The 23,394-nt window shown below is 41.0% G+C and overlaps 1 protein-coding gene across 2 annotated transcripts in view, besides 2 other annotated features; it reads left to right on the top strand.

Annotated features, from left to right (window-relative positions):
- The window catches only part of COLEC12 (collectin subfamily member 12), a 183,965-nt gene that overhangs the window by 67,250 nt on the left and 93,321 nt on the right, over positions 1–23,394 (top strand). The window lies entirely within an intron of this gene.
- Positions 12,317–12,868: an enhancer, noted in NCBI's record as "OCT4 hESC enhancer chr18:420584-421135 (GRCh37/hg19 assembly coordinates)". NCBI's record gives its function as "activates a minimal SCP1, AML or CMV promoter by ChIP-STARR-seq in primed H9 embryonic stem cells {active_cell/tissue: H9 hESC(primed)}" and the evidence as "EXISTENCE:reporter gene assay evidence [ECO:0000049][PMID:30033119]".
- Positions 13,415–13,608: a silencer, noted in NCBI's record as "fragment chr18:419844-420037 (GRCh37/hg19 assembly coordinates)". NCBI's record gives its function as "represses an EF-1alpha promoter that drives an FKBP-Casp9 reporter gene in an ReSE screen in HepG2 liver carcinoma cells {active_cell/tissue: HepG2}" and the evidence as "EXISTENCE:reporter gene assay evidence [ECO:0000049][PMID:32094911]".

Below are 23,394 nucleotides of genomic sequence, written 5' to 3'. Positions count from 1 at the left end.
TCAGACTATCTGAGGTTTCTCGGGACTTACCAGTCCTGCCTCAGATGAAGCCCCAGGCATCCTTGGTTTGGGGGTAGAAAACTAAAGGGCAGCCTTTCTAAAGTAACAACTTTCCAAGCGCAAGGATGGAGGTACTTTCCCCTAGGGTGGAGCAAAATTGATAGCAAGTGCTCAACCATTTTAATGATATGACTTGATCCTTTTTTCCCTCATAGGAAAAAAATGTAAGCTCAGACTGAAATAAGTGCTGCTTCTTATTTTCAGCCTCCGATTGGTGTGGTTCAGCATGTTAACTTGTTTGAAGGACTACCATGGGGAAACAGTCCATGAACTTAGAGAAATTAGGCAGAACTGAATGTTAAATTTGAAAATGATCTCAAGATAGTCAGTTCTGCTGTAATCCAATGTATTTCCTTCCTAACAATCATCACACTGTGCAAAATTATGCCATGAAAGCCACAGACTTACAGGAAAGGTGGAGTAACGGGCACAATACTCCAAAACTTCCTCAGTGACACATGTGAAAAAAGAGACAAGAACCTAATAAAACTGTCAGCACAGTTTAATGCATGTTAACTGGCTAAGAAATACATAAATACAAAATAAATATGGCACTTTACCTTGAAAGGTTTGCTTGGGGAGGTGAGCGCCGGAAGGGTTGCAGCTTGTGAGATTTTGTGAAGGGGTGCAAGGAAGGTTGTCCAAAATCAGATAGACAGTATATCAGATGTGGATGGGTGTGGCTCGCAGCACATGGTGAACTGAGGGAGCTGGTAGATTATTGAGGTGTGTGCATGTGTATTTTGTGGATTAGTCCAGCTGGAAGAAGTTTTCTGCATTCACTTAGTGTTTTTCACAAAAGAAATCACGTATAAGCAAAAATGCAAAATTCATGATACACCCAAATTTTTCCCTAATGTATCAATTAGGTTGGAATGAATTTGGATACAGCAGAACTGATTGCAGTCTTACCCCCTTAGTTTTTGTATAAAGAAATTGAGACCCAGTCAGACTAAATGAAGTTTTGTAGCCAGGTTAGTGGCTGAGCTGAGGATGGATTCCTAGACATCGGTTCCTTTTCTAGCGGGAGTGTCCACCATGCTCTGTTTCCTCTTTCGCTGTATTTTATAAATTCCTGCTATTTGCTGATGATAATATTGTTTTAGTACTTAAATATTTTAATGTAGGTCTCAGAGCTAGATCCTTAATGTAGATACCAGAACTTAATATTTGGAATCCAATAAATGTTTGTTAGTTAATGAATGAATTAATTAATGAAGGTGGTGAATGGACATAATCAAGTCCAGGTTCACTATGGATCCAGTTCCAGACCTAAGAGTGTAGACAAAAAGATGGAGAAGATGTGATGGCGTATTTAAAGTTAATGACAGCAGTGATCTTTCCATGTTCTATTCAAGCCTTCTTGGGTTGGATTTTAGTAAAATGATTTAGAGTGTGGGGGGCTTTGTGACAGACCACAGGCAAGTTATTTAACCTCTCTAGATAATATGGGATTTACCTCTTTGGGTTTTTGTAAGAGTTAGGGGAGATATACATATATAAAATCTCCTTAGCACAGTGCCTGGCACATGGCAAGAGTTCAATAAGTGGCTACACTTATTATTACTACTGCTGCTGCTACTACCACTTCTACTGCCGCTACTGCTTTCCCAACATACTATGTGTTGAAGGGAACCGAGGACCAGTAAATGTGGGGGAAGGAGCCCTGGCACTCCTCCTAGGCACTGGCCCAGTTTTCTTAACTGCTTATTGCTGGACCTCTCCACCCAGCTGTGTAACAGGACTTCAAACTCAACATGTCACACTCATTACCTTGCTTCCAGTGTGCTCCTCCTCATGCATTCACCACATTAATGCCATCCCTATTTGCCCAGACTAAACACCTCAGTCATCCTTTACTTGGCTGTCTTCTTCCACCTCCGCAGTCTATAGGTTATTCATTCATTCAGGTCTGGTTTTATTGATAACCAGTTGGGTCTCAGGCATCTGCCAACGTGCTTCAAGAAATAAACCTGAATGAGACATGATCCTTGTCCTGAGGAGTCTTTCAATATAAGGCAGAGATGCAAACTATGAAGACTCTGATCCAAACCCCACATCAGTAACCAATCATTATAAAATGTGTATAGGTTGGGCGTGGCAGCTCACACTTGTAATCCCAGCACTTTAGGAGGCCAGGGTGCAAGGATTGCTTGAGCCCAGGAGTTCAAGACCAGCCCGGGCAATATAACAAGACCTCGTCTCTACCAAAGGAAAAAAAAAAAAAATTAGCTGAGTGTGGTGGCACTTACCTATAGTCAGTCCCAGCTACTTGAGAGGCTGAGGTGGGAGGATTGCTTGAGCCCAGGAGGTCAAGGCTGTGGTGAGCCTTGATCATACCACTGCACTCCAGCCTGGGCAACAGAGTAAGAAAAAAATAAATAAAATAAAATAAAATGTGTGGGCCAGTGCAAGAGGCCACAGCCATAGTTCCTATATGTTGCCACTCACTTAAATGCAAAGTGGACATTGATTTTACAAGTAAAATTGATAAGTATAATCATGGAGTCATTCTATATTTCCAAAATTGTGGCCCCTTGGGTTAACAAAATATATTTGTTTAGGAAATTAGTTTTATTACTATATTTATTTTGTGTCCTAAAAAATGTTCTTTCATATGACCATGGCTTTACATTAAATGGTTTCCCTCTTCATTGGGATATACAGTATTTCAGCTGGATGTCTGTATGATGATTGTGGTGAAAGAAAAGTAGGTTGAAAATAAATTAAAATTGACTTTTCGGTTTAAAAAAGTGACTACTTTTTAGATAGTAGGCTGGATTTATAAATTTAGCTTAGCCCATTTATACTCAAATTCTTAGCAGTTTTGCCTATACCAATAAATTCTTAGAGATTTTTATTCACTGGAAGTTTAAATTTACTGTATAAGTGAAAGGGAAAGACTATTTTTCAAAATGTACTACTAATAATTAGGAAAGAACTCTGGAAAAATATAATTTTCCAAAATAGAGGTAATTAATATGCAAAGTTATCTAGATATGGAGTATGCAGTTCTCCAAAGGATTTATTTGTTCTTTCTTCTAATTTTTTTTTTTTTGAAACAGAATCTCTCTCTGACACCCAGGCTGGAGTACAGTGGCATGATCTCAGCTCACTGCAACCTCTGCCTCCCAGGTTCAAGTGATTCTTGTGCCTCAGCCTCCCGAGTAGCTGGGACTACAGGTGCGCCACCACGCCTGGCTAATTTTTGTATTCAGTAGGGACAGGGTTTCACCATGATGGCCAGGCTGGTCTTGAACTCCTGGCCTCAAGCTATCTGCCTCTCAAAGTGCTGGGATTACAGACGTGAGCCACCACGCCCAGCCGGATTTATTTATTCTTTCAACAAATATTTATTGAGCAAATTCCATAGGCCAGGCCCTGTCCTGGGAGCTGGCGATGCAGAACTGAGCAAAACAGAGTCGCTATCCTAAGGCAGCTTACATTCTATTTGGAGAGACGGAAATTAACAATAGACCTGTGATACCAGGCAGTAATTAAAATAAGGGCAATAAAGATTAGAAAGCAAAGGGGGCGCTAGTTTGGGTAGATAGATGGATGAGGAATCTTTACGATCATAGGGCTGCATTTATGCTCACGTGGGCCTGGAATCAGCCATTCATATCCACATCTGTCATCATGCAGCTCTATGTTGTCTTTCTCTTTGGGGCCTGTTCTTTGCTAGCTTGTGTTGGTAAAGAATTACATGAGGCCAGGCACAGTGGCTCACACCTGTAATCCCAGAACTTTGGGAGGTTGACGGGGGCGGTTCGCTTGAGGTCAGCAGTTTGAGACCAGCCTGGCCAACATGGCAAATCCCTGTCTCTACTAAAAATACAAAAATTAGCCGGGCATGGTGGCAGGCACCTGTAATCCCAGTTACTCAGGAGGCTGAGGCAGGAGAATCACTTGAACCCGAGAAGCAGAGGTTGCAATGAGCCGAGATTGCACCATTGCACTCCAGCCTGGGCAACAAAGTGAGACACTGTCTTAAAAAAAAAAAGAAAGAAAAAAAGAATTACATGAAAAAAAATAGTTTGTGTTATTTACAATCAAATCAGCCAACTGTAGAGATTGTCTGGCATTGTACACATTGTTCTGATAACAGTTTAAATACTTTGAAATTTGCATCATTACCATGGGAGAGACAACGTGTTCTTGTTAAAAAAACAAATCAAAACAAAAAAAACATAAAAACACACACAGAGTAGATGATTAACTTACATCTCAATGTGAGCAAATTTTTAGTTTCAGGTTTTGTGACTTCATAATCTCTGGGGAATTTTCCTTCTTAATGTTTAGGAAAAAATCACTCCCTACTGCTTTTTAAAGAATTAAAAGTCTCACTTGTGTGTTAAGAATGTGCACTTAGGCCTGTTAAAAAATTATGATTACCCCCAAAATGGTGGGCTTGTATGACCTTTTACATTTTTAAAGTAAAGCCTTCCATCTGGTTAAAAAATACCTTTTATAAAAGCCCCTTTACGGTGTTTGTGTTCCTTAGTAAATGCTAGATTTGTTCCTTAGAAAATTTGCTCTTGAGCAAGTCTATTTTGACCTGATGTAATTGAATCCAAAGGGAGAAAAACATTAAATTAATGAAATTTTATTGAAAAGACATCTTATTTATATGTAATAGTTTGGTGTCTTAATTATTATTATTCTCCCAAGTTATATTATAGTTTTAAACTTAATTTTCAAAAAAAGACAACTTTCAGTCACCTAATTACATGCAATGCAGCTTCTTTTCAGAAGTAATACCTTATTTAAAGTAATTCTTTTATGATGAACTCCCAAAGACCTGTACCTAAACATAGCAGCTGAATATAATTTCTAATTAATGACTTTTTTAAGGCATAATAGCAGATGGTTGAGCCATCCATGGGGTGTGTTGTGGTCCATTTGTTTAGTCACCCAGTGAGTTACTTGAAATAATCACTTAGCACTACTTTTAACAAAAGGATCTGATTTTTCTGTTCTCATCTCACACCAAATGTAAATGAACTCTATGGGAACAAGGACTTTTTCTGTTTTAATCACTGCCATATTCCCAGTGCATAGAACAAGGCAAGGCCTGTGGTAAACACTGAATCAATATTGGGTAGAAAAAGCTCTTTTTTTTTTTTTTGAGACGGAGTTTCACTCTTTTTGCCCAGGCTGAAGTGCAGTGACAGGATCTCAGCTCACGCAACCTCCACCTCTTGGGTTCAAGTGATTCTCCTGCCTCAGCCTCCCGAGTAGCTGGGATTACAGGCACATACCACCATGCCCGGCTAATTTTATATTTTTAGTAGAGATGGGGTTTCACCATGTTGGCCAGGCTGGTCTCAAACTCCTGACCTCAGGTGATCTGCCTGCCTCATCCTCCCGAAGTGCTGGGATTACAGGCATGAGCCACCACGCCCGGCCAGGAAAAGCTCTTTAGGTAGGACTTCCCTGGGAGCAAATAACAGAGTGTGTAGAATTGCATGTTTTTAAACGATGATAAACACCAAAGGCAATGTTCTTCTTAAACATTGAAAGAGAAAGAGAACGCCCACCAGACACAGCCAGAAAAGAGAATATGGAATCTGGAGAGCACCCTGAGGTGGGCCTAGGGTCTCCTTCATCCTGGGATAGTGCTGGGTGTTTGGTAGGCCCCAAATAAATGTAGTCAATAGGTGCGCATTCGATTCAATTCAATGCACATTTGAGGACCGGTTATGAATTGTGCAAGTCACTAGAGAGAATACAACAATGAAGAAGACAAGGTCTTTTTCCTCAGAGGATTAAAGCCTCAGATTTTTTAGTCCCAGTAACAGAGTTTTACTTTTCTTTCAAGAGGGCTGCATCTCTGAACCACCGTCTAGGGACTCCAGTGAAGAAGCTCTAAAGAGCTAGGCCTGAGAAATCACCCAGGTCAGCTCTGCCCATCAAGCATGAGATGTAGAGCACACCTATCAACGTGGACTTGATGACCTCAGATTCTAAATGCTTCTTTACCCGTCTTGAAATGAGGATTTCTCTCCCTACGGCCCACATAGGACGCTCACCTCGCTTGCTGGGAGTCACCTTTGTTGGCATTGCTGGCGTAGCTGAATTTGGCGATGCTTTTGCTAACCGTGTTGTCTGCTGACTCATCTTTACTACACAGATGAGAACCAGAAAGGTTAAGTGGCTCGCCTCACATCATGCTGCTTGTCAGTAGCTGAGCCAGCCCCAGTATGCAAGTCTTCTAACTCAGAGGCCAGTGCTGTTTCCATGACACCCTCTTCCCTCAAGTCATCTGTGTGTGGGAGGCAGAAAATATTGAGTACACCCAAATTGCCTATCAGTGGAATGTTAGTCAGCATTGGAAATGAGACTGATTACAACTGCAGCCTGCCACGCACAGCCATCCCAGAGGGACACAAGTGTCTACCTTCTTCAGGGGTCTTGCAGCCCTAGGAAGTTATTTAGTTCCATATATTGCAGACCCTTAGGGAAAATAAATAGTGATGGCCTCAGAGAGAAGGGAGAGAAAATGATCCCTTCCCTTCCTGACTGTGGGATCTTGAGCAAGTTATCGAATCCTTCGGAACCTCTGTCTTTTCATCTCTAAAATGGCTACAAGAGTGCTTGCCTTATGATTGTTGAAAGAAATAAATGCACGTAAAGCCCTTAGTAAGGGCTTAGACTGAGTGCTTAATAAATGTTAGGTGTTATTAAAGAGTTATTATTTTTAAAGATAAAATCATGACTCATACCTATATCAAATGAACATGTGTCAAAGATTTATTTAACTGATTAATTAATGAGGGAATCAATAAGATGTTACAGCCAATTCACAGGAGAATTCAAAGAGCAGGTCCATATAGAAGCGGTCAGGAATGCTGAAGTGAATTTACCTAGTAGATGCAAAACTGGCTTCTTCCATAGAAAGGGAGGGAAAGCAACTGCGCTTCCACTGCACAAAATTTACTCATGTCTATGAGTAAAAATCACTTACATTGCTCTTCATTACCTACAACTTACACAGTAGTAAAATTGCTCGCAGACCCCAAAACATGCAGAGACCTCATAGAATCACATAACCTGGAAGGGTCTCCTAGGCAATGCCTAGTTTTCCATTGACAACACCCATTAATCATTCTGGTTCATTTCAACAATTTTCTCAATTACATCCTACACAGTGTGTATTATTGCTCGTTTCTTAATTACATCCTAGGAATGTTTTGAGAACCAATAAAATATGTGAAAAGTGCCATAGAAGCCATGATGCATTTTACAAATAGTAGTGGTAGTCTAAAAGAGAGGAGTGAGGCTGACCTGTCTGAATCCGACCTCTGATACTTTCCATGTGATCTTGGACAAGTCACTTAACATCCTGTGCCTCTGTTTTCTTAGCTGTAAGTCAATATATTTAAGATTCACTGCACAGGGTTGCTGTGAGGATTAGATGAGGTGATGTGGGAAAATATTTGGGAAAATGAAAAATGCTATACCAAGATGAGATGTGATTATGTTATGGCTCTCGGCTTAGCTTGGGGTTCATTTTTCTTTAAGAAGAGGAGGCTGTGGAACAAGAGATGGGGTGGTGAGTTCTTAAACTCACCAGGTCATTATTACTGCAAGCTGTAAATCACATAGAGATGTCTTTAACTCAGTAACAGTTATTTATGGTACTACTGTTAGTCCAAAAGCACTTCTCCAATATTCACTCACCCACATGCCCTCATGGCTCCAGAGAGGTTAGTGGTGCCAGCAATGGTGATGTTGATGACCGTGGGGGCTGTGTGTCTTTAATTAAACCTGTAAGGACTGTATTTTATTCTCCCCCACCTCTTCCCCCAGCGCTGTCATCCCAGAGTCTCTCCTGGTGATCATGTACAAAGAGACTCATTTCATCAGCCTGGGGGGACTCTCAGGAATTTGCAGGAATTGGGAAGGAAAAGCTCTGGCCCAGCACACTCCCCTCCTGGTCTAGTCTGCATTTGGTAATTGAGAAGGGATAGGAGGGTTTGGAGTGAGTCTAGGATGTGACACTGAAATCATGGAAAGGAGATGAAGAATGAGCCCTGGGTGGGAGGGGCAGCTGCCCAGCCTGGAAAAGAGCAAGGGTCGGGGGCATGACCCCGTGTGTAGGAAGATGCTTCCAGTAGGCCGGCTCTCCAACAAGGCTGGTGCAAGAGAAAGTAACTTCAACTGCAACTCACGGGTTTGAGTTATGGAGACTGAAGAGCTTTCTGCATACGTTGGTGAATACCATAGACACAATTAAGAAGGTTGCACTAAGTTCTTCTCTGGAGATTTTGAAGAATAAGAACAGATCTCTCCCAGTCTGAGAGGTTACAGATCATGCCTCCCTAGAGGCAATAGCCTGATTTGGATTTGAAGAAGGAAAAAAACCAAGTACAGGAAACCACACCTCTATTGTCCTGCCTTGCTTATTGTGAGTAAGGGAAGGCCGCCCGGCTCGCCTCCTCTCCCCCACACCCATGAGGTGACCCAGCACACCCTGCTCAGCTGTGACATGGCATTCACTCCTCTACCTCCTGGTTGTCGGCAGACTTACTGCTTCTCCTTAGACTGAGCTCTCCAAGGCAGAGCCTTGGTTTCTGCCTCTGTGTCCCCACATCCTGATGCAGGCCTGACACAGAGTAGGTCCAACATACTTGTTGAGCCAGTACATTGACGAGTGACTTATTGACCAGCTGAGGCCAGGTCAGCAGAAACCTCAGTGCCTGAGATGACAACATCAGAAGTCCTCTTGAAAAGCCAGTTTGGTAAGCCAACCTTTGGGCTTGAGCTCTGGTGAGCTATTCACCAGAAAATAGTAAAGGACACTGAATTTCAGTGTTCATAGTGAGACTATTTTCAGCTTTCTCAGAGACAGCATCTGTAAATAATCAGGCAGAAGCCTCTTATAAAACAACATAGGAAAAACCTCAAAGGCTATTCTAAGGCTGCACCATTTAAACAAGATTTTTAACCCATGGGGACGCCAAGATCAACATGGAGCTTCCTGCACATAAAAGTCTGGAATTTCATAGCAATGTGGGGGCAAAAGCTATGATAGCATTTCCCCCTTTCTAAATTATATACTGCTTAGTGTTAATGTGAGCAGAGGGCTGGATGGCGACGGGCTCGCAGCTTACGTAAGTCCCACTACGATCTTCATTCCTTCTGTAATGCAGGATCCATGGTGATGGAGGTTGGGGGAGTCACCAGGCTGGCTGCACTGATGTAAGGCGGAAGGGTCACTCCTAGGTCATGCCATGATTTAAGTCTTTGGTGTAATTTATAACAGGGCTTTCATTCCACATAGAAAAATGATCAGGGATGTTGGTTCTATAATTGTTTTCTCTCTCTAAAAGATGCTGTTCTGGAAACTCGGTTTAGTGGCAGCTATGAATGCTCATCTGTAGCACCTCCCTTTTCCCTCCCATTTGGAAGGAGCAAGAGACTGTCTTCTAGGATGAGAGAGATGAGAGAGATGGCATTAAAGCTTGACATCAGATGAGCCCTTCAGCTCTCTCAACCTGCATAATTCTCTTTTGGGAAGGAGAGACTGGTCTCCAAGCACTTCTTACACCTCCTCTGAACCAGGAACCATATCAGCACATTCTGACTGAGTTAACCTTAATTGTAAAAGACTGGGAAAAAAAAACAAAACAAAAAAAAACAAACAAAAAACAAAACCAGAAGTCGTTCTTACTATCAGACCAGCCCTGGGCGTGTGTGGTCAGTATGATAGGAAAGCTACTGAAAGTTCAGTCTGTTTCCCTTAAAATCTCATTTACTGGTTTCTCAAGTTACCTGAAATTTCTGCTAGAAAGAGTAATTTCTTAAGATTTTTCTAGGAAGGCATTCACTGATACTGGGAAGGCTAGTATTTGAACAACTATCATCATGGCACCTGATAGTTTATGCACTGTGAAGAAGAAAAAAATGATTTATAACCAAAAGGATTTTTGAGGCTATTTTGTTAAAAAAAAGAAGAAGAAGAATTTTATTTGGAAGAAAATAATACATATTTTAATTTTAATCCTGTGTATTCTAGACTTGAGGGAAATGTCACATCTTCATTTTTGTATTCCTAGTTAACACGATGTCCTGCACATGTTCTAGGCCAATAAATAATGGTTTTATTTTGTTTTGTTTTGAGATAGGATCTCACTCTCTTGTCCAGGCTGGAGTGCAGTGGCATGATCATGGCTCACTGCAGCCTTGACTTCCTGGGCTCAAGCAGTCCTCCCACCTCATCTTCCCAAGGAGCTAGGATTACAGGCATCAACATCACACCCAGCTAATTTTTTTGTTTTTTTAGAGATGGGGTCTCACTATGTTGTCCAGGCCAATCTTGAACTCTTGACCTCAAACGATCCTCCAACCTTGGCCTCCCAACGTATTAGGATTACAGGCGTAAGCCACTGTACCCAGCTCCAGTAAATATTGTTTTGAACAAATGAGTGGGAAACGTATTTACAGAGAAAGCTTCTTGGGCTGGCTGGCTGTGGGTCCAGTTGTGTCTTATTTCTAAAAACTAAGAAGTTTATATAAACAAAAAATCAAAGTAGGAATTTAAAGAGAGCATTAGTATAATTTTTAATAACTTACACGTTTTATCTCATGGGTTTCATAATGTGTATGAGCAAATAACCGGACTCGCCCCATACTTCCATATGTACATGCTTAGAATGTAATGCATAGGTTCTGTGTGTGTGCACGTATGCATCTATGTGTATGTATTTTGTAAATAATCTATAATAATCTATAAAATATATTTATAAAATAATCTATAAAAATATAAACTATTAACAGTAGTTACCTCTGGGGGGTAAAATTGGAAAAGGTAAAGGAAACTCACATTTTTACCTTATATATTGCTCCTTGTTTGAATTTTTCTTTTAATGAGTATGCATTTGTATATCTTGAGTTCTTAGCATATGGCCTGGCACTTAATAAACATTTTATTCAATGTTTAACAAATAGGGGAATCAGTCAATTGAGTGGCACAAAAATTATACTCAAACATTTGATTTTGAGAGGTTTAGGAGAGGAATGATGATAAAGAAATTGAACTGAGGGCTTAGGAAAGAGAGCATGGTCTGGATGTATTGCTAAAAGAGGCCGTCGGAAATAAAGGAATACTTTGGGGTTACCATTGCTAAACTGCGTATTTTCTACCCTTAAAGGTGCCCCAAGTTAGATACCTGTCTGGCAAATTACGTAGTCCTAATCATAGGTGTTCTTAAGGGTTTATGTCTTGACTGAAAAGGGACAAATCACCTGGCAAGGAGACCACTACCTAACCCTGGTGACTCTTACCTTACAGGGCTGGACAGACATGACAGTGTGAAAGGCCTTTGTACTCTCAGCCATGTGGCTTGCTGGACCATCTGAAGGCCTACTGAGACTGTCCTGGGAAGGGGACAGCAATCCAGTGACTCACCCAGCAGTAATTTGCCTGGGTTGACTGGATAGGCCTGTCCTGTAGATTGGTATCCAAAGATTAATATGATGGGTGAGAACTTTTAGCTCCAATCCAGCTGGTGTGACCCAAATGCATAAAACTCACTCTTGGCTTCTCATCGAGGAACTAAGTTGGAGATATTTTAAAATGCTTGAATGGCAGTTTGGAGTCTATTTGAAAACACTGGCAGGAATGTCTAGATAAGACTACCATCAGTGGTCAATCACTGGAATCACTGAAGTATTTCAACTGAGTGAAGGAAGTGCCACTCAGCTTCAGTCTGGGTGGCAGAGTCCTTTCAAATGTGGCTTCAGCACCGACTTTCTGTGCATTACTCATGCTGTGAAGTAGGTGATTTAAGCCACTGACTTTCTAAATTAAAGGCACAAAAAGGCAGACATGTAATTCTTTTAATTACACATTCATATTTCTCTTACATTCCTCTGAGTCGTTCATGTCTGCCTCCTGCCTCATCAGCCTACAAGCAGAAAACAAGCAACAGGGAATGTGGAAGATCTGTAAAGGGATGAAAAACCCAACTCACTTGTTTGTACTGTGGCTTTTCTCAAAGAAAAATAAAAGCACCGTGTCGGGAAACAGACAATGGGAGATCTGACTTCTACTGATCGTAGGGAATAGTGAAGTATTTCAAGATAGGAATGAGTCATACCTTTATACATTTTTTGCCATCTGCTCTCTATTAACATGGGCTATTAGTAAAACATATTTGGTTTATATCACCAGGCAAGGAGATTGCATTCATCTTGTTTTTCTATCAAAGTATATGCATATAACCTTAATATAGAGTTTTCACAACTTAGCAGTAGAGACAGGTTTTGTTTTCAGATGTGTAGCCCTGTACAAGTTAAAGCTGTGTGGCTTTGTTCACTGCCTTTATTAGGCTTTCCATGGGAAAGGCCAGGCAGGGCAGGGTAAACAGGTTAGGAACGGCTAGTTTGAATAATTTCCGATAGGTCTAAACTATAGATGTGGTCCCTAGTTGCTTGGTACCTGGCCCTGGGATGATTAGGAGAGAGGAGCATTGCTTCCTGGGTTCTATGGGCCAGGTAGAGGAGGTGTGGCTCTAGGTTGGTTAGTTTGCATAACAAAGGCATGCTCCTTTCTGGGCCCTTGGCTATCTTTGAGAATTACCTAGCCCTGGAGGGAGGTGTAGTCTCTCCCCAGCCTGAAAGGGTTTTTTTAAGGATGTTAAAACATCATCATAATATACAAAAAATAAGAAATATACACAAACAAATGAGTTTAACATTCGAATCTTTCTCAGTCACCTCTCTTGGAGTTGCAAAATCATTTGCCAAATCTGTTCTCATTTACACAGTCCTTAAGTTACTGTCCAGTCAGGCGTTTAACCTCTACCTTGAGGGAAAGATAATCCAGAACCCCCTTTGCTTTACCTAGAAAATTTTTTATCGCTTTTTAGAATTTTAGACTCTTTATGTTTCTGCTGTATTTATACAGAAGGCATTTAATCTACATATATTTTGTTGATTTATAAAACCCAGTGAGGCTTTTTTCCTTTTTGGTGTCCTTGGAAATACCGAGGCATCACCCCAGTTTGCCATGATTTCTCACTGCAGCTATAGCCAGAGGAAAATTTTTCCTGTTCTGAGACTGGAGCAATGTTGGGGCTGAAATTTCATTTTAGTGATACACGTGTTACATTGCCATCAAACATTTTATCATCTCATGTTTGGATGATTTTCCAGTTATCTATTGCATGAAACAAGGCATTTTAAAACTGAGTGTCTTAAAGCAATTGATTATTATTATTATTGCTCTGGTCCTGTGGGTCAGGAATTCAGACTGTACAGCAGACACAACTCTCCTCTGCGCCACAATCCAGGGTCTCAGCCGGCATGCCAGGCAGGGATGAGAGTTGGAATTGCTGGGGGCGGCCTGGCACTGTCTCCTCCTAGGCCCTCTCCAAGTAACCAGCTTGGGCTCCCTCCAGCATGGCAGCCTCAGGGCAGTCAGACATCTTGCAAGGGCTCCAAGAACAAATCTTCCAAGAGTCAGAAAGTGGAAGCTGCTGGTCTCTTAAGGCTTAGCTTGGAAATTGGCACGGCATTCTTTCTGCTGTATTCTGTTGGTTAAGTTTTCACAGAGATCACCCCCACCAACCCACTCTGCAGGTTCAAGGGGAGAGGACATAGATATCACCTCTTAATGAGGGGAATAGCAAAGAATGTGTGGTCATTGTTTATCTACCACAGATGACATATCAACAATCCCAGACATTCAGCACATCTACAAAAATTATTTTTATCTCACTCTGCATCTGCTTAAGAAGGTAGATATTCAACTGCAGTTCATTTCAGAGTTCTTCCTGTATAAAGACTGTTGACAGCAAATGTTTTGTTAGAAACGTTTTGATAGAAACATTTTGACTTCAAACTCAGATAATGACTCTGTATCATTTAAAATATATACAGGGCTGGGCACAGTGGCTCTCACCTGTAATCCAGCACTTTGGGAGGCCAAGGTGGGCAGATCACCTGAGGTCAGGAGTTTGAGACCAGCCTGACCAATATGGTGAAACCCCCTCTCTACTACAATTACAAAAATTAGCCTAGTGTGGTGGCATGCGCCTGTAGTCCCAGCTACTCAGGAGGCTGAGGCAGGAGAATTGCTTGAACCCAGGAGGCATAGGTTGCAGTGAGCCAAAATTGTGCCAATGCACAACAGTGCAACAGAGCAACAGAGCAAGACTCCATCTCAAAAATTAGAATAGAATAGAATAGAATAGAATAGAATAGAATAGAATAGAATAGAATAGAATAGAATAGAAGTATGATGCCTTACATTGATTGGATATTTTCCAGATAATTTTAAGATATATTAGCCAATCCCTACATCAGCTCTTTTCATTTTGTGGATGAGGAACCTGAGGATCTAAATGGTTAACTGACTTGTCCCAGATCACATGACTGACTACCAATGGGGGCAGAGGTGTTAAAGGAAAGGGGTCCTGATCCAGACCCCAAGACAGGGTTCTTGGATCTCGCACAAGAAAGAAATCAGGGCGAGTCCTCAGTGTAAAGTGAAAGCAAATTTATTAAGAAAGTAAAGGAATGAAAGAATGGCTACTGCATAGAGTAGCCCTGAGGGCTGCTGGTTGCCCATTTTTATGGTTATTTCTTGATGATATGCTCAACAAGGGGTGGATTATTCATGTCTCCCCTTTTTAGACCATATCTGGTAACTTCCTGATGTTGCCATGGCATCTGTAAACTGTCATGGCGCTGGTGGGAGTGTAGCAGTCAGGACGACCAGAGGTCACTCTCATCGCCATCTTGGTTTTGGTGGATTTTGGCCGGCTCCTTCACTGCAACCTGTTTTATCAGCAAGGTCTTCATGACCTGTATTTTGTGCTGACCTCCTATCTTATCCTGTGATTTAGAATGCCTTAACCATCTGGGAATGCAGCCCAGTAGGTTTCAGCCTCATTTTACCCAGCTCCTATTTAAGATGGAGTTGTTCTGGTTCACATGCCTCTGACAGAGACAGACCCAGGATTGAGTTAGTTTGTACTTTCACTGATAGTTTCCTTGAATTCCTTAATATAGGTAGAAGTAAACTGAAGACCATGGTAAGGACTTTTTAAAGAAATATCACCATTTGGGATATTTTATCTCTTAGAATGAAGAAAAGATCCTTTATTTTAGGCAAATACTTGGTGTTTATGTGGCTCTTAAACTTACAAAGTATCTCCATACCCATTATCTACTTTGCTCCACATGCTGATCCAATGAGAGAGATATTAATAACACTATTTTCAAATAGAGAAGCAGAGGTACAGAGAGGTTAAGCAAATCACTTAAGGGTCACACGGCTAACTGTAGAACTGGTGCCCAAGCCCAGAACTTTAAACTCTGAATCCTGCCATTTCTCACTGTGTTCTTCACCCCTCCCTCACCCTGGCTTCTTGGGCCTTAGAGCAGCCCACACATGGCTTAGCTGTGCGGGGCAGGGCCATCCTCCTCAGGGACAAAAATGGGAGGCCTCCGAGGACTGAATCGCCCAAAGTGGTTAGAGGAAGGCAAAAGTTTCAAGCCACCAGCAGCAACATTAGAAGAAATGGGGAACACTCTCTAATTGTGGACAGTTCCAATTTTGTCCGTCTCCAGGGAGAACTAATACTGTTACGATTTCTCCTGATGCATGTGAAATCAGTTGCTACAGCAATGACCAGTGTTTCTTGGAACTTGCTGACAGCAACAGGCCTCAGAAATGAAATTTCTGTTCTGTGTATCGTGTTTCTAACGCTGGCTCCACTATTTCAGCACCTCTACTGTGTCCACTTCCCATGATGATCTCTTCCTGCCCCTTCCTGCCCAGAAGGTAGGGCAAGATAAGTCTCTGCCCCAGTCACTAGACAGGCATGTTGATGATGGCCTTGGGAACTGTGGCTTGGCGGTGGTCCTTAGGGGAAGGGAACTTGTCTGTGTTGGTCACCACTATAACCTTTAGAACAATGCCTAGCTCAAGTGCTAAGAAAAAACACACATAGTCATGCACTGCATAATGATGTTTTGGTCAATGACAGACTGCATATGTGGTCCTGTAAGATTATGATGGCGTTGCCTTATACAGGTGTATCATTGTTTATCTTTTATATCATATTTTTATTGTACCTTTTCTATGTTTAGATATGCTCAGATACACAAATACTTAACATTGTGTTACAGTTGCTTACAGTATTCAGTACAGTAGCATGCTGTATAGGTTTGTAGCCTCGTAGCAATAGCCTAGCTGTGTAGTAGGCTATACATCTAGGTTTGTGTAAGTACACTCTGTGATGTTTGCATGATGATGAAATCACTTAACCATGCATTTCTCAGAACATCTCCCTATCATTAAGTGATGAATGAGTGTGTGTGTGTGTGTGTGTGTGTCTGGGTGCATGTGTGTGTATATATGTAAAGTTAATGAATGATTGCTAATTACTGCAGTTCTTTAAACCTGGTATACTTTCCCACACATCCATGCCCTTGCCCATGCTAGACCCTCTGCCTGGAATGCCCTTCCCTTCCTTCTTCCTTTTCTACCAACCCTCCGCCCCCACCCCCCACCGCCCCCACCTGTTAGCTTGCCAAGCTTCATCTCATGCTCTCCAGAGTGTAAGGCAAGATAGGTCTTCTAAATTTAATTATTATATTATATTTTAAAACTTTAAGTACAGAGACCTGAAGGACCTTAATCTTCCCTAGAGCTGGTGCCTTCCCCATGACCCCCAAAGGGAAGGATCTGAACAGTGTTTGTGCCGTGGCAGGGGCCCATGGCACCGCCCAGCATGGCGGTGGAGGAGTCCCAAAGCTTTATAATGTGAATGGAAACTTGGAGTTACCTCTTGCTCATAATGAAAGAGATTCCCTACCAGAGAGGAGGCACAGAAGCCATTTTCAATGAGTCATGGAATTCCTCTAGGATATAATAACAAGCCATTTAACCAAAATGTTGAGGGAGCAGTTAAAGAGACCCATAAGTCACAGAGAGCCTTGCATTGACTCCCATTATATCTCTCGTCAGCCTCTGACCTGATTCATCCTGCTTTTCATCCTTCCCTCTATATCAGATCATCTCATAATCCCCAGTTCTGTTGAGTGTTTCAGTCACCTCCAGCAGCCAGTGTGGGATCAGTTCTTCACTAGATCCCTGGCTGCTCTTTACTGTTTTCAGCTTGTTTTTTCTTTTTGATGAAACAATCCCCAAAATGAATTTTTTTGGGGGGGTGTCAACACTTGTAAAATGTCAGGTTTGCATTGTTATCTGTTAGATTTTTTGGTTTCTTTAATACAGCAGGAACTGGAGAATCTAGACAAAGAGGTTTAAAAGTTGAGTCATCTCCCCACAAATATTTCACCCACATCTACTAGCATGATGATAACTCAGTTAAAGGTTGTGAAAATCAGTAGTCTGACAAGGAACTAGTACTATTGATTATCATTTCTCATTATTTTTCTTCAGTCCAAACTTATTTTAAGCCAAACATATTCAACACCAAAGTATTGAGTAGTTGAAGAAAGGCAGATGTGCATTACAGTGTAATTAGGTTCATAAGTTACTATGACAGGCAACTGAATAAACCTCAGTGTTACTGCACATTTTGCCAGAAAAGTTGTGAAGCTATTTTTTCCACTTCTCTTAGATCCTGAAGAGCCACTTCCTTTTCTCTGCTGACACATACCTGCTTGCCCCAGTGCCTTGGAGGAACTTCCAAAGGTCTAAATGAAAAGCCTTTTAAATTTCTTAGAAGTCATGAAGTCATGACTTCGTACATACAGCCCAATGTGTGTAGATGACAAGAGGGGCAACTTTTACAAATTTAAGTCAATTTTATAGCCATCTGTTGTAGGGGATACAAATATTAGTCTATGACAGGTAAACAATTATAGTTCAGTAAGCCACAATAACAGCATCTTGTACAAAATGATGTGATGGTGCAGAGAAGCTCTTGAGGAGGGTGGTAAGGAGTTAGGCCTAACTTGCATCTAGAGACTGGAATTTATATCTGGGATGGAGTTAGCTTTGTAACGATTTAGGCGCTACCTCATCCCTAGGCCTAGGAGAAGAGATATCACAATGATACAAGGAAAAGGCAGCAGTAACTGAGGATAGAAAATCTAGGTAGGAGCCCTCGTTCTGCGGTTTGCTAGTTCCTGACTTCGAGTTGTCTGGTCACTTTAGTGAGGGGGTAGTTGCCTTATCTGTAAAATGGAAACGGCATTAATTCCCACATCACACAGAACTGTTGCTGCAATCAAATGAAATAATGTTAGTAAACTGCAAAGCTTCCTGCAAATGTTTGCCATTGCCTTGGCTCTCCAGTGTATGTAATGCTGGTGACATAAATAATAGCTTCATTCCGTGTTTGCACTGATGCATTTTGAATGTAACCTTTGAAAATTAGGATCCTCTTGTCTTTGGGACAGTAGTTTTATTAGGTGCAGAGAAGCATTTGAATATTCCAAGTGAAATATTAGGAAATAACTCCTGCAATCCTTCCTTGCTTTGCAGGTGATTGCACAGTTTTAAAAGGTGCTTGAAATCTCTTGGCCACACTCACAAATGTATTACTGGACCTTAATCAGCAGTTCTAGAGAAGCAGCACCTGTTTGCTGTGGTCTGCAGGCTGGGTGTCTGAGAACAAGCCTGTTTGGGGGTTAGAGGCCCAGCTTTATCCTTGGGCAAGTCACTTCATCTCTGGGCCGCCCTTTCCTAACTTCAGATTCAGAGGTCAAACCCACTGATAATTAAGGGCTCTTCTATCCTTAAAGATCTGTGTTTGCATAAGAGTTCGGTTTTGTTTTTTGTTTTTTGTTTGTTTGTTTGTTTTCTGAGACACAGTTTCACTCTTGTTGCCCAGGCTGGAGTGCAATGGCATGATCTCGGCTCACTGCAACCTCCGCCTCCCGGGTTCAAGTGATTCTCCTGCCTCAGCCTCCCAAGTAGCTAGGATTACAGGCATGTGCCACCATGCTCAGCTAATTTTGTATTTTTAGTAGAGTCGAGGTTTCACCATGTTGGTCAGGCTGGTCTCAAACTCCTGACCTCAGGTACCTCAGGTGATCCACCCGCCTCGGCCTCCCAAAGTGCTAGGATTACAGGTGTGAGCCACCGCGCCCGACCCAAGTTTGGTTTTTGTTCATTTATTTTGTTTTGCTTTTGCTTACTCTCTTTACCAATTTGCAAGTCACCCCTGAAGCTTCCCATTTGAAAATTAAATTTTATTTTGGAAATCATTGTAAATTCACATGCAGTTGCAAGAAATAATATGGAGTTCCTATGTACCCCTTACCCAGTTCCTCCCAGTGGTAACATCTTACAAAACTGTAGTACAGTATCACAACCAGAATATTGACACTGACAAAGTCAAGATACAAAAAATGCCTGTTATCACAAAGATTCCACATATTTTCTTCCCCTTTCCTCCACCTACTTCTTCATCACTGGCAACCACTAATATGTTCTCCATTTCTATAGTTTTGTCATTTCAAGAATGTTGTATCAATGGAATCATAGAGTATATAACCATTCATGATTGGTGTTCCCCAACCCCACTGAGCATAATTGTCTAGAGATTCATTAAGACTGTTGCATGTATTAGTACTTCATTCCTTTTTATTGGTGAGTAGTATTCCATCAGGTTATATGTACTGTATCATAGTTTATTTAGCTATTCACTGTCTAAGGACATCTGAATTATTTCCAGGTTGGGGGCATTATGAATAAAACTGCTGTAAACATTCACGTACAGATGCTTTTTTAAATTTTTTATAGAGATGGGGTCTCATTATGTTGCCTAGGCTGGTCTTGAGCTCCTGGCCTCAAACAGTTCTCCTGCCTTGGCCTCCGAAAGTGCTGGGATCGTAGCACTGTGCCTGACCAGTATGTACATATTTTTGTGTAAACATAAATCATCCTTCTCTAGAATAAGTGCCTAGAAGTGAAATTGCTGAGTCATATAGCCATTGTATGTTCCATTGTTTTAGAAACTGCCAAACTATTTTCCAGAGTGACTGTACCATTTTACATTCTCACCAGCAGCATATGAGTGATCTAGCTTTCTTACATCCTCTCCAGCATTTGTGGGGTCACCGTTTTTTATGTCAGCCATTCTGATAGATGTCTAGTGGTATGTCATTATGCCTTTGATTTACATTACCCTAATGGCTAGTGATGTTGAATATCTTTCTATGTGTTTATTTGCCATCCATCTGTCTTCTTCAGTCAAATGTCTCTTCATGTCTTCTGCCCATATTCAAATGAGATCATTTGTATTTTTGTCGTTCAGTTAATTCCTTTGATTAATGTTTGTGTGGTATACCTTCTTCTATCTTCTTACTTTCAACCTTCCTGTATGTTATATTTGAAATGAGTTTCTTGGAGACAGCGTATAATTGAGTCATATGTTTTTAATCAACTATGCTGTTCTCCATCTTTAAATCGTAATGCTTTAAATGTAATTATTGATATGTTAGGGCTTAGGTCTGCTCTTTTATTTTTTGTCATTGTTACCTGTTTTTTATAGCTCTGTTTTCATTTTTTTGCCTGCCAGTGGGTTATCTGAACAATTTTTAGGATTTTGTTTTGATATATCTATAGTGGTTTCTAGTGAGTCCCTTTGCATGACTTTTTTAGTGGTTGCTTTAGGTGCTGGATTATGTGTCTACATAACTTATCAAAGCCTACCTCTATTGTCATTTCGCTAGTTCTAGTGAAGTACGGAAACTTTACCTCCCTTTATCCTTTCCATTTATAATATGTTTGTCTTTAAATTTACCTATATACATTAAGAACCAGACCAGTTTTATAATTTTTGCCTTATCATCAAGCATAATTTAGAAAACTCAAGAGGAAGAGAAAAGGCTATTGCATTTACCTATATTTTTGTTTGCTTTGTTCTTCCTTCCTAATATTGAAGGTTTTGTTTTCTTTCTTTCTTTTTTTTTTTTCTGTTTAGAGCACTTTCTTTAGCTAATTTTTCAGATTAGGACTGTTGGAGATATCACTTAGTTTTCCTTCCTCTGAGAATGTCTTCCTTTCCCCTTTCATTTCTGAAGGATATTTTTGCTGGATATAGGACTCTGGGTTATCAGTTTTTTTCTTTCAGCACTTGAAAACTCTCTCACCTCTTCCTTCTGGCTTCCATATTTTCTGATGATAAAATCACCATCATTCAAATTGTCTTTCCAATATAAGTAAGGTGTTTTTTTATCTTGCTGCTTTTAAAATGTTTTCTTTGTCCTTTGTTTTTGGAAGTTTAATTAGGATGTGTCTTGATGTGTATTTTTTTGGCTTTATCCTGTTTGGAATTCACTCATCATCTGAATATGTAGGTTCATTTCTCTTGCCAAATTTGGGAAGTGTTCAGCCATTTTTTCTTCTATTACTTTTCTATCTGCTCCTCCTTTCTCCTCTCCTTCTAGGACACTTATGACATAAATGTTAGATTTTTTGTTATAGTCCACAAATCCCTGAGGCTCTGTTATTTGCTTTTCAATCTATATTCGCTCTGTTATTCAGATTGGTCATTTTTACTGTTTTGTTTTCCAGTTCACTGATTCTCTCCCTATTTTCTCTGTTCTTTGTTTTTGTTTTTTGTTTGTTTCTGGTTTTTGAGACAGGATTTCACTTTTTTGCCCAGGAACTACAGGTGCATGCCACTACGCCTGGCTAATCTTTGTATTTTTTTGTAGAGATGAGGTTTCACCATGTTTCCCAGGCATGTCTCAGATGTCTGGGCTCAAGCGATCCACCCATCTTGGTTTCCCAGAGTGCTGGAATTACAGGCGTGAGCCACTGTGCTCAGCCTGCTCTGTTCCAATGAGTTTGATTGATAAATAACTTTGGTTATTTATTTTTTAGTTCTAAATTTTCATCTGGTTCTTCTTTAGGTCATCTATTTCTTCTCTGAGATAGTCAGTTTCTTTTCCAAGGCTTTTTTTTCTCTTTGTTTGAAACATATTAATAATTGCTCATTGAAGTGATTTATCATGGCTGCTTTTTAATCTTTGTCAGGTAATCCTAAAATCTCTATCATCTCAGTCTTGGCATCTATTGATTGTCATTTTTCATTGCATTTAAGATCTTCCTGTCTCTTGATATGACAAGTGATTTCAGCTGAAACCAGGATATTTTAGTATTATGTTACTAGACTCTGAATCACATCAAAACCTTTTGTTTTAAGCTGGCTTTCTCTGGCAGGACTTCAGCAAGGGACGGGTAGGCATCACCTCATTACTGCTTAGGTGGATGCAGAAGTCCAGGTTTCTACTGGATCTCCATTGATACCTGAGTGGTATCATCATTATTATTGCTAATTATTAAGCATTATTGGTGGGAAGGGATAGAAATTCCAGCTCTCCGTGTGGTTCTTTTGATAGCGCAGTAGGGGTGGCTCCATTATGGGTAGGCAGTAGTAAAAATCCAGTCACTCTACTAAGCATTCTCTTACCCCACCCCAGTGGGGTACAGCCCAACAGGTGAGGAGAGTCTGGGTTCCCCACCCAGGCTTTGCTGGCATGGGTGGAGGTGGGGATTCTGTGGTTTTTGGCTGGTGTTGAGCATTTATTATTGAAAAGTTTTCTATTTTGCTAGGCTGCTTCATTCCTGAAGAGATGAGCTTTTTTCGGATATTTTTTTTTTGTCTGTGCTCTTTGGCATTTCCAGGTTGTTGTCTTCTTCACTATAAGTCTAGGATAGAAATAATTGCCTGGTGTGATGGCTCACGCCTGTAATCCCAGCACTTTGGGAGGCCAAGGCGGGCAGATCACCTGAGGTCAGGAGTTCGAGACCAGCCTGGGCAACATGGTGAAACGCCGTCTCTACTAAAAATACAAAAATACAGCATGCCTGTAATCCCAGCTACTCGGGTGGCTGAGGCAGGGGAATCACTTGAACCCAGGAGGTGGAGGTTGCATTGAGCTGAGATCATGCCACTGCACTTCAGCCTGGGCAACAAGAGCGGACTCCGTCTTAAAAAAAAAAAAAAGAAGAACAACTCAGCCATGTGTTGTTCTGTGAGTTCTGAGATCTCTAGCCAGGCTTCCTTTACTCCACCTTTCACAGTCTTCTTATGTTTGTTTCCTATCTGATGTCAGGATTTTAGTTATACTTGGCAGGAGAAGTGGGGAAAAGTGTGTCCACTTCATCTTCTACAAGTGGAAGTCCTGGAACTTTCATTTTTAGTTGACTTGGTTTTTCAAGCTCAATATTTTATGAACATGCTGCACCACTTAACAAAGCAGAAGGATACCAAACCACCTGCAGGAAACATTTGTTTCTAGGGTTTATGTGAAAGGAAAAGTGTCTACCATGTGCTTGGCACTTTATGCTTAATTTCACTTAATCCTCAGAAGAATGCTACAGGGAGGGTA

Source organism: Homo sapiens, chromosome 18 (genome assembly GCF_000001405.40).
Source record: "Homo sapiens chromosome 18, GRCh38.p14 Primary Assembly".
In the NCBI taxonomy this organism is placed as follows: domain Eukaryota; kingdom Metazoa; phylum Chordata; class Mammalia; order Primates; family Hominidae; genus Homo; species Homo sapiens.
This window is presented reverse-complemented; position numbering and strand designations above follow the sequence as displayed.